Source organism: Homo sapiens, chromosome 1, assembly GCF_000001405.40.
Source record: "Homo sapiens chromosome 1, GRCh38.p14 Primary Assembly".
NCBI classification, from domain to species: Eukaryota; Metazoa; Chordata; class Mammalia; order Primates; family Hominidae; genus Homo; species Homo sapiens.
The window spans coordinates 215,855,332-215,870,801 of NC_000001.11; the positions used below are offsets into that span (position 1 = coordinate 215,855,332).

The following is a 15,470-nucleotide window of genomic DNA, read 5'->3' on the forward strand; positions in this document are numbered from 1 at the left end:
AGCACTGTTATACACAAAGAGCTACCAAGCTGAGAATCAAATCAATAACTTAACCCCTTTTACAATAACTGCAAAAATAAAAAGTAAAATACTTAGGAATCTACCTAACCAAGGAGGTGAAAGACCTCTATAAGGAAAACTATAAAATGCTGCTGAAAGAAACCATAGATGACACAAATGAAAACAAATCCCATATACATGGATGGGTAGAATCAATATTGTGAAAATGATCATACTGCCAAAAGCAATCTGCAAATTCAATGCAATTCCCATCAAATTACCATCAACACAATTCCCATCAATGCAATTCCCATCAAAATACCACCATCATTCTTCACAGAACTTGAAAAAAATCCTAAAATTCATATGTAATCAAAAAAGAACTCACATAGCCAAAGCAAGACTATGCTAAAAGGACAAATCTGGAGGTAACACATCACCTGACCTCAAACTATACTAAAAGGCCATAGTCACAAAAACAGTATGGTACTGGTATAAAAATAGGCATATAGACCAATGAAACAAAATAGAGAACTCAGAAATAAAGCCAAATATTTACAGCCAACTGATCTTTGACAAAAGAAACAAAAACATAAAGTGGGTAAAGGACAACCTATTCAACAAATGGTGCTGGCATAATTTGCAAGCCACATGTAGAAGAATGAAACTAGATCCTCATCTCTCACCTTGTACAAAAATCAACTCAAGATGGAACAAAGACTTAAATCTAAAACCTGAAACCACAAAAATTCTAGAAGATAACATTGGAAAAATCCTTCTAGACATTAGTTTAGGCAAAGACTTTGTGACAAAGAACCTAAAAGCAAATGCAACAAAAAGAAAGATAAATAGTTGGAACTTAATTAAACTAAAAAGCTTCTGCACAGCAAAAGAAATAACCAGCAGAGTAAATAGACAACCCACAGAGTGGGAGACAGTCTTAAAAATCTTTACTTCTGACAAAGGACTAATATCCAGAATCTACAAGCAACTCAAACAAATTAGCAAGAAAAATACAAACAATCAAGTCAAAAAGTGGGCTAAAGACATTAATAGACAATTCTCAAAAGAAGAATGGCCAAGAAACGTGCAAATGGCCAAAAAACATATGAAAAATACTCAACATCACTAATGATCAGGGAAATGCAAATGAAAACCACAATATGGTACCATCTTACTCCTGCAAGAATGGCCATAATCAAAAAACCAAAAAATAATAGACCTTGGCATAGATGTGATACAAAGAACACATTTTTACACTTGGTGGGAACGTAAACTAGTACAACCACTATGAAAAATAGTGTGGAGATTCCTTAAAGAACTAAAAGTAGATTTACCATTTGATTCATCAATCCTACTCCTGGGTATCTACCAAGAGGAAAAGAAGTCATTATATGAAAAGATACTTACACATGCATGTTTATAGCAGCACAGTTCACAATTGTGAAAACATGGAACCAGCCCAAACGCCCATCAATCAATGAGTGGATAAAAAAATTTGGTGTGTGTGTGTGTGTGTGTGTGTGTGTGTGTGTGTGTGTGTGTGTATCAGCCATTCAAAGGAACAAAATAATGGCATTTGCAGAAACCTTGATGGAACTGGAGACCATTATTCTAAGTGAAGTAACTCAGGAATGAAAAACCAAACATCATATGTTCTCACTCATAAGTGAGAGCTAAACTGTAAGGATGCAAAGGCATAAGAATGATACAATGGACTTTGGGCACTCGGGGGAGTGGGTGGAAGGGAGGCAACGGATACAAGACTAACCATTGGGTACAGTGTATACTGCTTGGGTGATGGGTGCACCAAAATCTGAAAAATCACCACTAAAGAACTTATTCGTGTACAAATAAGTAAATAAACAAATTAAAAAGGGATAAGGAAGAGATACAGCTATAGCTTAGATTTTTGGTTTTAGTTTCTGGGTGAATCCCATTAAATAAGATAGAAAACATGGAATTATGGGATGAGATTTTGAAACTTGTTTCATTTGAGACTTCTTGAGTTTGAAGTGTGTCAACAGAAGAGGTTCATAAATTTGAAAAGGAGAGCTTTACTTCTCATAAAGGGTTGCAGCCTGCAGGATGGCCATTCAGACAGCCTGGGAAGCATATGGTAGCCTTAAGCCAGAAGCCAGAAAAGATTCTTCAAGGGAGGAGCAACAGGAATTTATGCTGAGTGGGGTGACTGAATATACATATTCAATAAGCCTCAGGAAGAGTCATGAGTATTTATGAAAGGAGAAACACGCACATGTGCAATTGAGTTTTACATCCCCTGGTGCATCCCACGTACAAAAATGGCAGCATTAGCACAATCTGAGGGTGGAGTTTTCAGCCCTCTGACATCAAGCAGTGAAGAAGAGGACATGAAGACCCTGACTGCAGATTCTCCATACACTGGCCATGACAACTCTGTGGCCAGAGGTCTCTCATCAGTTAGTAGAAGAGGGGCAGCATCAGGTGGTTGGTTGATATCAGTGGTGGAATCTTTTGAAAGGGTGGTTTCTGCTTAGCACTTAGGGAAGTAACCCTAATGGTGTATAGCCAGGGAGGGGTGTCTGACTTCCCATCCCACTGTAGCCAAGAACTCAGTTTTCAAGGTTGCTCTGGTGTCCCCTTGGCCAAGTGGGGATCCACTCAGATGGTTGTTGGAGCTTAGGATTTTGTTATCTTTCAAGTGTTTCTGTGGCAACTAGGTGAACTTAAAAACTACAATGTGAATGTTTGAGTTACAGTTATACAATATGGAGTTAAGGCTTGTACTTGCTTGTATTTGATGCAATAGAAAGAAATCGGGATTTCCTGTGAGATTATGTTAAATATGTGTATATTGGGATATATTTTCTCAGATATTCTAATCCTATTATGTATGATGCATATTTTGTGGACCACATAAATTTATCTGAGCAGGTATTGCCCTACTTGTGGGAATATCAAGTTAATCTCTGATATGGTTAGGTCCCATGTCCCCACCCAAATCTCATCTTAAATTGTAATCTCCATAATACCCATGTGTCAAGGGCAGGACCTGGTGGGAGGTGATTGGATTACGGGGGTGGTTTCCCCCACGCTGTTCTCATGATAGTGAGTTCTCGCAAGATCTGATGGTTTCATAAGTGTTTGACAGTTCCTCCTATGTGTGCATTCTCTCTCTCACCTATCTCGCATGTCGTCTCTTCACCTTCTGCCATGATCGTAAGTTTCCTGAGGCCTTTCCAGCCATGCAGAACTGTGGGTCAATTAAACCTTTTTCCTTTATAAATTACTCAGTCTTGCATATTTCTTTATAGCAATGTGAGAACAGACTATTACAATCTCAGTGAGCTGAAAAAGGTTGTAACCTTTTTGGATAAGAGCTTTGCTATTAAATGTTATTTTTAGTTGCAACCTCCAATCCTTGGTCAGAAATTTTATCTTAGCTGGAGCAAATTCTCAAATATAGAACAGGCTCCTCTCCTTTATAATGAATTCCTAAATAATTTTAACAGTAGTTAGATATGTATTAGTTTGCTCGGGCTGCCTTAACAAAATATTAAAGGCTGGGTGGCTTGAACAACAGAAACTTATTTCTCACAATCTGGAGGCTAGAGGTTCGTGATCAAGGCGCCAGCAAATTTAGTTTCTGCTGAGGGCTCTTTCCCTGGCTTTTGGAGAGCTACTTTCTAGCTGCTGAGTTTTCCCATGCTTTTCCTCTGTGATCGGAGAAAGGGAGAGAAGGGGTTGGGGGAGAGACAGAGAGAAAGAGCAAGCGAGCCTGTGTGCTAACTTATGAAATCGAGGTCCCACTCTTATAATCTCATTTAACCTTAATTACGGTTGACCCTTGAACAACACAATAACACAGGTGTGAACTGCTTGGGTCCATTTATAAAGGGACTTTTTTCAACCAAACAAGAATTGAAAATATAGTATTCTCAGCTGGCATGGTGGCTCTAGCCTGTAATCCCAGCACTTTGGAAGGCCGAGGCGGGAGGATCACGAAGTCAGGAGATTGAGACCTTCCTGGCTAACACAGTGAAACCCCGTCTCTACTAAAAATACAAAAAATCAGCCAGGCGTGGTGGGATGTGCCTGTAGTCCCAGCTACTTGGGAGGCTGAGGCAGGAGAATTGCTTGAACACAGGAGGTGGAGGTTGCAGTGAGCCGAGATCACACCACTGCACTCCAGCCTGAGTGACAGAATGAGACTCCATCTCCAAAAAAAATAAAGTAGTATTCTCCCATGCAAAACTCGTGTAGAAGGCCAACTTTTCATATACATGGATTCTGCACGGCTGACTGCTGGACTTGAGTATGCACAGCTTTGGTGTACTTAGGGGGCAGTCCTGGAACCAATCGCCTGCATATACCAAGGGATGACTGTATTTCTTTAGAGGCCCCGTCTCCAAATACAGCTACACTGAGAATTAGGGCTTTAGTCCATAACAGACGGGCTAGTTAAAAGTTATCCTGCAACAGCAAGTAGATTGTGCTTCTTACATGGCCTTAAATTATTGCCATGGTTCCCAGCAAAGGGGGATCAAGGGTTTATATCACCACCAAACCTCATGTGACCTCCAGTGTACTAGTTTTGGAAGATGAGGCCTAGTTGGAGGTGTTTGTTGCATGGGGCCAGATTCTCATGAATGGCTTGGTGTCTTGCTCTGGCAAGGCTGGGTTAGTTTTTGAAGAAATGAATTAGTTCCCTCAAGAGTGGGTTTTTAGAAAGCCGGGCATCCCTTGGATTTTGCATCTTTGCACATGTCCACTCACCTTTTGACCTTCTCTGTCATGTTTAATGCATCACAAAAGCCCTCACCAGAAACCAAGTAAATACTACAGCCATGCTTCTTGTACAGTCTGCAGAATCATGAGCTAAGCAAAACTCTTTTCCTTATTGACTTCCCAGCCTCAGGTATTCTGTTATAACAACACAAACAGACCAAGACAATTATCAATGTCAATTATGTCTTCTAGATTTTTAACATCTACATTAGAGGTCAGCAAGCTATGTTCCATGAGCTAAATCTGGCCTGTTGGCCTAGTGTGGCCCACCCCCTGCAAGCTAAGAATGGTTTGTACATTTATTTGATTGGGGGAAAAAAACAAAAGAAAAAAAGTATTTCATGACATGTGAGAATTATTAGGTTGGCGCAAAGTAGTTGTGGTTTTTGCCATTACTTCAATGGCGAAAACCACAATTACTTTTGTGCCAACCTAATATATGAAAATCAAATCTCAATGTCCAAAATAAAGTTTTATTGGAACATGGCCATGCTTATTTAAAAATCAGAATCACCTTATTGCTGTTTATGTGCTCCAGTGGCAAATTTGAGTTAAGACAGAGACTGTATGGGCTTCAAAGTCTAACATTATACATATTTGACACTTTACAAAAAAAGTTTGTTGTACTGATTCAGATCAATTATAGTAAATCATTTCATTTATTAGATCTCTTAATTTATTTGTCTAGGACTAAATTCTTCAGACATCTCACATTAGCAGGCTCATTTTGGGAGGTAATGTTGCTCAAATGTAAAAACCTGGAAGGACCTTATTAAGCTGATTTTATGATGGAAGTCTTGATCTTGCTCGCAGAATCTCCAAATTAGAGTCCAATTTTCCAAGTTCTATGGTGCAGGGCTCTGCGTCACCAACTAAGCAGCTCTTGGAAAATTTGAGCTTGTCAAAACTGCTCTTGAGAAAATTCTTTACTCTGCCTGAGGGTACTACTGCTGACATGAAGTGGAAAGATTAACTTCTTGGGCAATAATCCTTCAAGTCAGCCTCCTTAGTTTTCCGAGCAGCATATCTCCTGTCTTGTCTCTAGTTTACCCATCTGTCAAAACCAAACACCTGCACTTTGGAAACTCCAGAGCTACTTTAGTCTCTCATAGTGTTCCAGCTTCTATCAGGGGCCTGCCAGAGAAAACTGTATTTAAAGGAGATAGTATAATAGATATATTAATTATTCATCATTTTATATTTAGTTAAAAAACAGGATAGCTAATTTCTACTTTTAAGGTAAATTGATATGGGCAAACAGGGAATGAGTTAGTTAGCGAAGCTGGTGAAACCTAAAATCTCCAAAATATAATAGTTTAAATAAAATCCATGTTAATTTGTATCTCATGTAATAGCTTCAAAGTGATCAAAACAGACTGTGCTCCATGTGGTCACTTAAGAACCCAGGAACTTTCTCTTATGGGGATTTTGGATCTCTTTGGGTGTTGTACACGACTGCATAGTTGAACCTGAGAACATGATCATGTCCTCATTCCAGTCCAGGGGAAGGGCTAAAAGAGAACAAGTAGGCACACACCCAGTGTTTTCTGGTTAATACCCAAAAAGATGCAGATTGTCTTTCACTTTCTATTGACACAAACACATACTACTGGTATTTCACCTGGCCATGACTAATTGCAAGGGAGGTTAGTAAATGCAGTTTCTAGATAAGGGGCAAGGCTATCACTAAAAGAAAAAGAGGAGAATGGATGCCATGCAATAGTTAGTAGTTTTCGCTTTTTTTTTTTTTTTTTTTTGAGACAGAGTCTCACTCTGTCACCAGGCTGGAGTGCAGTGGCACGATCTCGGCTCACTGCAACCTCCGCCTCCCGGGTACAAGCGAGTCTCCTGCCTCAGTCTCCCGACTAGCTGGGACTACAGGCATGCACCACCACACCTGGCCAATTTTTGTATTTTTAGTAGAGACGGAGTTTCACCATGTTGGCCAGGATGGTCTCGATCTCCTGACCTCATTATCCGCCCACCTCGGCCTCCCAAAGTGCTGGGATTACAGGCATGAGCCATGGAACCCAGACTAAGTTTTCAACATTTTAACTAGATTTTTAAATTTCTATCTTTTAGCCAAGTCAGGTAATTATAAAATAACATATATTCTTTATGCATCTTCAACTCACTGTAGAAATGCTTTTATCTCCTTTGTAGGGACATGGATGAAGCTGGAAACCATCATTCTCAGCAAACTATAGCAAGGACAAAAAACCAAACACCGCATGTTCTCACTCATAGTTGGGAATTGAACAATGAGAACACTAGGACACAGGAAGGGGAACATCACACACCGGGGCCTGTCGTGGGGTGGGGGGAGTGGGGAGGGATAGCATTAGGAGATATACCTAATGTAAATGACGAGTTAATGGGTGCAGCACACCAACATGGCACATGTTTACATATGTAACAAACCTGCACGTTGTGCAGATGTACCCTAGAACTTAAAGTATAATAATAATAAAAAAAATGCTTTTATCTGAATAGTCTTGCAAAATCAACTTCCAAGCTTTTACTAGACATGGCTTCCCCTTTTATATATTATATAAAATGGTATTGAAAGGACCATGCACATTTTAGAAATAGAATAATACTCTGTATTACAAATACTAGGTGATTACTAATTGTTAAACATATATTATTTCATTTAGTCCTTAACAGATTTCAGGGCAGTTATTATCTTCATATTTCTGATTAGAAAACTGGAACTCAGGTTAAATTCTAGGTCGTAGTGCCAAAACATATTGGAACTGGGATTCAAATTTAAGTATCCCTGATCCCAAAGTCTATTTTAAAACTATTTATTCATATGGCTGCATACAATGTTGGCGGTTGTCATTTTTGTAATTAGAAGAATTTGAAACCTTGAGTATAGATGGAATCACCAACAAGAGAACAGGAGTATGATAGGAAGACTCAGGAAAGAACTTTGAGAAACATCTTTAGGGATGAGAAGAAGTAGTTGGTGAGAAGAGGGGAGTAATGATTATTGGGGAAGAATTATAGTCAGTAAGGGATCATTCACAGTGCTGGATACAAGAGGAACACAGTAGGATGGCATTGAGAAGAGAGTTTTGAAATGGGTCATTAGGTGATAACTAATGACTTTAAGAAAACCATGTAGAGTACAAGTGAAGAGAGACAGATTACAACAGGTGCACAAGTGACTGAGAAGGAAGACAATGGAAAAGTCAGATGTGGTCTCTTCTATTTGATAACTAAAGTGATGGAAAAGAGAACAGAGGAACAAGGTGAGGCAACAATGGTAGGTGCTTTTTAGAAGAGATGAGATTTGGAATTATTTACAGATATTGCCACCTTAATCAGATAAATTCAGGCAAAGTCAGATATACTTCTAGCTATCAAACCTGGTAGTTTCTGATTAAGAGATCAGGATGAGACAAATGCTTTTTCTGTGGTTTTAAACTTGCCCTCTTAATGATGATACCCTCATACTTTATGCATTTTCCAGAGTTCACTGAGTGCTCAGGACAGAGAAAGTGATAAATGTATCTGTGAGGAAGGAAGGAAAATAGGAAGAAAGAGAGAGAGAGAGAGAGGGTAGAAGAAGAGAAATAGACAAATGGCCAGGCATGGTCCCTTATGGCTGTAATTCCAGCACTTTAGGAGGCCAAGGAGAGAGGATCACTTGAGCCCATTAATTCGAGACTAACCTAAGCATAGGGAGAACCTGTCTCTACAAAAACATTTTAAAAAAGGAAATAGAGAAAGAAGGAAGATGGAAAAAAAGAGGAAGGAGAGAGCAAGACCAGGAGGATTATATGATACAAGATATGAACATCTGAAGGTTGGGGTGAGCTCTTGACAGACAGTAAAGTAGACAATATTTTGATGATTTTTCATTTCCTCTTTTACAAAGCATTGCCCTCTCACTCCCTCCAGTGTTTTACTGCTCTTTTCTGGCCACAACTGACTTCCTTAGTGAATCAGCTTCAAAGGAGGCACTATCTCTCCACTGTACTCCCTTTGGTAGGCATTTTCTTATTTTGCCTTCTATTTTAGACTGAGCAGTCAAGATGAGAAGGATCCTTTTAAATCCTTCTTGTTAAAGTGTTAATGACTGTTAAGTCTAAACGCATGAGAAATAGAAAATTTGATGCCTGAGTCCTAAGTTTGAGTTTGGGAACTGGTACTTTCTATAATTTTTGGTAAGTTACTATGGGCTGGTTTCTATCTCATTGTGCTTTTCTGAGGATTGTATAAATAATTTAAGTGAGGTATTTTTCAAATACAAAAACTGTGATTTTTCAAAATTACAATATAATTTATCTTTGGTGTATTTTGTTTAGGGCAAAATATTTTGTATTATCATATAAAGCAGGGATAAACATCACCTGTCTATTGGGACCAGGAAAATGGGGACCGGGTCAGATTTTTAGGGCATGATCTGTCTAAAGGGGAAGCCAGTTCCAGCTGATAGTTTCCTTCCAGAAATGTGGGTATTGTTTCACCCCATCATTTGACTTGTCAAGTGAATCCTCAAATTATCTTTATGTATAATTCTTAAATGTTTGCAAATATTATTTTTTCAAATACTGTGGGCAAAACAGTGTATGGAAGCTGGAGGAGGAAGGAAATATGGCCACTGTGTTGCCAATTTGCAACATCTGCCTTCCAAAAATGAACTGAAGTAACACAGGGACGCTTTTATCTCACATATCATGTATGTGATACTAATGTTTAAAACTGGCCCTTCAAAAGTTTTTAATAACTTATACATATCAATCTGTGATTGATAAAAATTTACCAGAAACATTTTGCTACCAAAATGATGTGTACATGGGGAGGGTCATAATAGACAAAGACCATGCTTTAAAATATATATATATACATTGGAAGGTGATTTTTAATAAGCAAATATTTATAAATTTAAAACATGATTTTCCACTGCAAAGTATTTTCAATCTATAGTTTGTTGCCTTTGAGCATATTAGACTGTATGCCATGTTTTTCCTATCCAATCAAGACAACAATTTAAAATTAAAATTGCAAAAAATAGGCCACCTTTCACAGAGGATCGACTAGTTAATTTACTTAAGATAGCAAGTTGCCCAAAAGAAGAAAATGATAATGCAACAAGCTTTCGCAAGACTGACCCTCTTCTGAGAGTTAACCTTTGTGCTCACAAATAGTTATCTGAAAAATTTCCAAGGTATGAATGGAAATAACAGCAGATTGCATTACCTACATCCCGAAGGTCAGAGGTTCAGATTACCAAGGTAATGAAACTTCAGTGAGCTGCTTCAGATCTATTAGGTTTGTCAGTTTTTATAAGCACAGTTACTTCAGGAATGCAATTATAACATAAAGGACCTATATTGGTGGAAATTCACCAGCCGGATCTTAACAGAAGTATTCAAATGTCAGATGAGGGGGGAGAGCCTACCTTTATGAGTAGGCTTTTAAGATGAATCAGTTAGTGAGGTGGAGTAGAGAGCAAGAGGGAGATGAATGGAAATATGCCTTAAAACACATCCCCAGATAAAAACTTTGTATTTTTCCCAGAGGTGTTTCAGAGGGTAGCCATAAGCATCAATTAACTTATATTATTCCATTAAAATGGTTTAAGAGATCCCAATACAAGTGTCACAGATCATTAGAAACCTGCAGCCTTATAAAAACCAGAGAAAGACAGTTTTCTTTTGTAAAGATGGATTATTTTGTGGAAACACAGATAAACCTAACCTACTGATTTAATTTATAATTGATATCCTCAATTCTGGCTTTAATTCACAATTGATATCCTCAATTCTGGCTTTAATTCACAATTGATATCACTCAGGTGTCCTAAATGGAGCATCTCTCTTCTTAAGCTGTAACCAAATTCAAGGCTGATCCAGTGTAACCAAAATCACATGGTTACATTGCCCAACCAGTAGTGACTTTTCATCTTTTTATATCATCAATAGATGATTACCCCAGTGAGCAGAGTGTTCTTTCATAAATAAAATGTTTTGAGTGGGTCTTTCCTGATCAGGTATTTCTCAATATTTGGTGTTATTCTGACAAGTTTTGATGAAACTATTTGCCAGATCTCAAGTTATACCTATAAGACTGATTTTAATACATATTCTCATGGTAGATTCAGGGTTTTTTTCCTGATAGTCGTCAGGGATTGACACAAATTAACAGATCACAACAAATTAACATGTTAATACTACCCTACTGACCAAGTAACTGTGAAATTTCAGTTACTGTGGTTTCTAACGTTGCAGGAACAGATTAGATTACTCTGTGAACTCTTCCAAATGCCTGTTAAAAAAGTGTTCCCAGCAGGTCCAGGGTCGACCCTGCATTATTTAAGTGGATCCAGTGGTGATGTCTAGGCTTCCTTTTACTGGATCAAGCTGGAATTCTGCCCATAGCCAGTCTGAAGATGATCCACTGGGAAGAATCTGTTCCATTATTGCAATCCAATTAAATGGTTCTTGCTAATGAGCGACGAGTTACAAGATATTAGGGCAGAGCTCTCTGAAGGAAGGTGAACAATAGTACATTGTATCCAATTAATACATGGACATGTCTATCACAATTGCCTGGTATGATAGAAATTACGTTGTTCATGCAAAGGAAATGACAGAGGGAGAGCAGGAGGCCCAAGAACAATGTCAAAGTAGGAGAGAGTTTGCATCTTAAGAATGGCACAGGGGCCCCAGGGTTTTAGTTTTAATGTGTCCATTTCTAATTTATTTGGGTACTAATAAAAATGGCCCTTCTAAAGTTTTCAATGACAGCCCTGTCAATCTGCAATTGGTAAAAATTTACCAGTAACACTTCACTATCAAAATGATGTGTACATGGGGGAGGTTCATAGTAAAGAAAGAATATGCTTTTAAAAATACACAAAGTGTTAACACAGGTATGAGAAGCTTACTTACTTGGTTTAGCCCACCTCACGTCGATGGCTGTGTGGTTAAGGACACTCGCAGTGAGATTGGCTCCTCTCTCTGGAAGACCAGCTAACGTTGTCACAGTCACTTCTCGGCTCGGTGTAAAACCCACACTGTTGTGTACGAAGAGCATATATTCATAGGTTGTAAACCTAAAATGTTGTTTTGTTAAAAAAAGTATATGAATTTCTACTTTACAGAAAATCTAACAAATAATTTCTTTTTTTCTTCACAAAATACAGGATTTCCTTCCACCCCTCTACAAAATACTGTTTTCTTTTCCTCCCTAGAAAATACATTATTTTATTTTCCCTCCTTACACAACACATATCATTAATTTTGTGACTTGCCAGCATAAACCAAAACATCAGGGAAATATTTTATTAGGAATGCTGAACAAATATTGCTATTGAAAACAAATGTGGTTTATCATTTTCTTATTCTTATTGTTTTCAGAAGTGGTGAGGATTACAGCTCAATTCAAGATGCAATTACAAATCAGGCAACCTGCCAGCTTTCTATCTGAATTTGATCCAGAGAGTTTTATGCTCTTCTTTTTGGAAACTCATCCATTTTCAAATATCAGAATCCCTCATCAACATTTTCTTCCGATACCTATGCTTCTTTCCCATAATCTCACTGCAGACAGATAAACCCCTAAATTAAATTGTAACTGTGACCAAAGTGTACAACATTCTCCCGCTGAGAGTTTTGCTACAGTGAGCTGTATTTTGCCATAGTGTGAACATATTTACTTGAGTCAATACAGTGGAAACCGAATATTACTTTGCAGAAGGCAAAAACTGACATGCTGATGTGATATGAGGAGGACTTTCCAAGTCATTTATTAAATTGACTATAGAGTAAAGCCACCATTTTTTTTTAACCAGTTTTGGGCAGAAGACCATCAGGCTTCCTTTGCTTGGTTCAGAACTACCTGTGTAAGGAAATGCCATAAACAGACACAGTCAGTCTATGAGTGGACAATAGCTTAGACTGAGATACTTGCTTAAACATGTAGTGCAACACACGACCATCCCAGAGGCATCCAGGACACAGGGCAAACACTGGCCTCAGATCATTACCTAATTTGGGTTTATTAGATGATCAAGGATACCTCATCTCCAGTGTAAGGCCCACAGTATTTGTCTCAATATGTCACAATCTCTGATTTGACGATGCAAAGGTGGTGTGGCATGGGTGGGTAGGTGCCATTTGCAGGATTGTGTTAAATAATTTGACCAAAATTATATCAGGATCCTCAGAGCATTTTACTGCCACCTAGGTAGAAGAAATCTGCTTGACTCATCCTGTTTCTTATTCATAGCCCGAAGATACGTTTGCAGGTTTCTGCCTGACCCACATTGAAAGGTGTTGCTCTATTGTAATTACAGGTAAAACTTAGTGACTTTTTGAGGCTATTTATCTATTTCTCCTAAATATGTGCTTGCATCAGATCTTCTACACCTCCCTGCTTTACCATCTCTTCTCAGGTGTTTAATGCCTCTTTTATTTCTGCTTTGTCTGCTGTAGTGGGTTGAACTGTATCTTTCAAAAAGATATTTTCAAGCCCAAGCCCCTGGTCCCTGTGAACACGACCTTATTGGAAGATAGGGTTTTTGCAGATGTAATCAAGTTAAGATGAGGTCATACTGGATTAGGCAGCACCATAAATTCAATGCTGATGTCTTTGGAAGAAAAAAGAGAGAGAAATTTTATAGACACATGGATACACACAGGGAGGTGATGGCCATGTAAAAACAGAAACAGAAATTGGAGTTATGCTGTCACAAGCCAAGGATTTCCTAGGGCTACCAGAAGTTGGAAGAGGCAAGAAAGGGTTCTTCTACAGAGCTTTGGAAGGGAGTCTGGTCCAGAATACAAACTGGTTTGCAACTTCTTATATCCAGACCTGTGAGAGAATAAATTTCTGTTGTTTCAAGCCACCCAGTATGTGATATTTTGTTACTGCAGCCCTGGAAAATGAATACATATGCTTTTTAGCAAGTGCTGAATAGTCCACATAATCCAGACAACTAAAAAATAATAATAGTTACTTAATAGCTGTCAGGCATTTTCTACAGATGTTAACCCATTCATTCCTCACAAAACTCTATAAGGTGCTATTATAATACCTATTTTGAAAATAAGAAAAACAAGGCTCAGAGAGATAAATAACTTGTCCAAGTCATTGAGATAATAAGTAGGAGGACTGAGATTCAAATATAGGCAGTCTGATTTCAGAGCCTGCTCTTTTAACCATGATGCTATACTGCCAACATAATAGTGATGATAATAATAATAGTAATAATAACAATCATAATGATAATCTGTTCTGTCCATACTTGGATGATGTCATATCACTAAGGCTTGAACTTTGCGTTATTTTTCTAGCAGAGGGAATAGATTTTTGCTTACACATTCAAACAGTCTGGCCAAATTTCCTTTGCAACCAATAGTATGAATATGAAGGATGATGAGTCGGGGTTAAGAGGGTAGCAAGCCTATGACAATGGAATGAAATGAAGCTAATGGCTCACAAGGGAATTGAACCAGCGACCTTGGCTTCATTAGCTCTCTCCCTGGGTAAAATACTTATAATTATATTTTACTTCATAAAATGACTTAAAAGAAATGTAGCTAGAGTCTGGATACCTAGCCTCCTCTCCTATAATATGTAAATTTTTCTTCCACATGTCTATGCTATTATACAATTAATAATCTTTATGGATTTAAAGTGATACCATGTTTGTGGTTCTTTCCTACATGTGGAATTAACAATATCAGGTGGCGCTAAAATGGTTGATTGTAAATAAATTCTATAGGGCTTTAGTTTTTATAATACTTTAAGAGATTTCACAATAATTTAGTTATGGCGAAATACACAATTTACGTCTACAAAACTCAGGCCACATAGATACACACAATTGCATGCCTGTTTTCAAGGTGGTTCTAAAATTTTAGAGTAAGAGATGGCTTTAGAGTTTATCTGCTACAAATAATAAAGTGTGTGCTACATCATACAGATTAAACAAAAAACCCTGAGACCCTGAGAAACAAGTGGATTTGTGTAAGTTTGCACAACTAGTTAATGGGGTAGCTGGACATAGGGTTTATTCATTTCCAATATTACACTATTTCCACTTTTTAAAAATTTAATTGAGAAATCAGTAGATATTTCATTTGAGGCCGTACATTTGTCTTTTGTACTTTAACTTTCATTGTTAAGTTAAATTTTTAAGGAAACAAGATTTTTTTTTTATTTTTTATTTTTTTTTTATTTATTTATTTTTTTGAGACGGAGTCTCGCTCTGTGCCCAGGCTGGAGTGCAGTGGCGCGATCTCAGCTCACTGCAAACTCCGCCTCCCGGGTTCACGCCATTCTCCTGCCTCAGCCTTGAGAGTAACTGGGACTACAGGTGTCAGCCACCACTCCTAGCTTTTTTTTTTTTTTTTTTAGTAGAGACGGGGTTTCATCGTGTTAGCCAGGATGGTCTCGATCTTCTGACCTCATGATCCACCCACCTCGGCCTCCCACTGCTGGGATTCTGTACAGGCGTGAGTCACCGCGCCTGGCCGAGGAAACAAGATCCTGAATCCTCTTAAATACTAAAATATACTGTTTTCATTTCATCTGAATTCCAATCTGTATTTAGTAAGAATATATACCTATGGCTTGTCTACATATATATGTTGATTCACATTTCACCACTTCATATCAAAAAAAGAATGTATTAGTTGGCTTGAAGTGGTTTTCCATTCACTCTATGTATACTGTTTTTC

General features: G+C 38.1%; 1 protein-coding gene across 1 annotated transcript in view; it reads right to left on the minus strand.

The window, feature by feature from the left end:
• Positions 1-15,470, minus strand: part of USH2A (usherin) — an 800,558-nt gene that overhangs the window by 232,441 nt on the left and 552,647 nt on the right. The window contains exon 44 of the mRNA NM_206933.4: positions 11,676-11,839. Coding sequence (NP_996816.3) covers positions 11,676-11,839 — 164 coding nt within the window. The remainder of the gene's footprint in view (positions 1-11,675; positions 11,840-15,470) is intronic.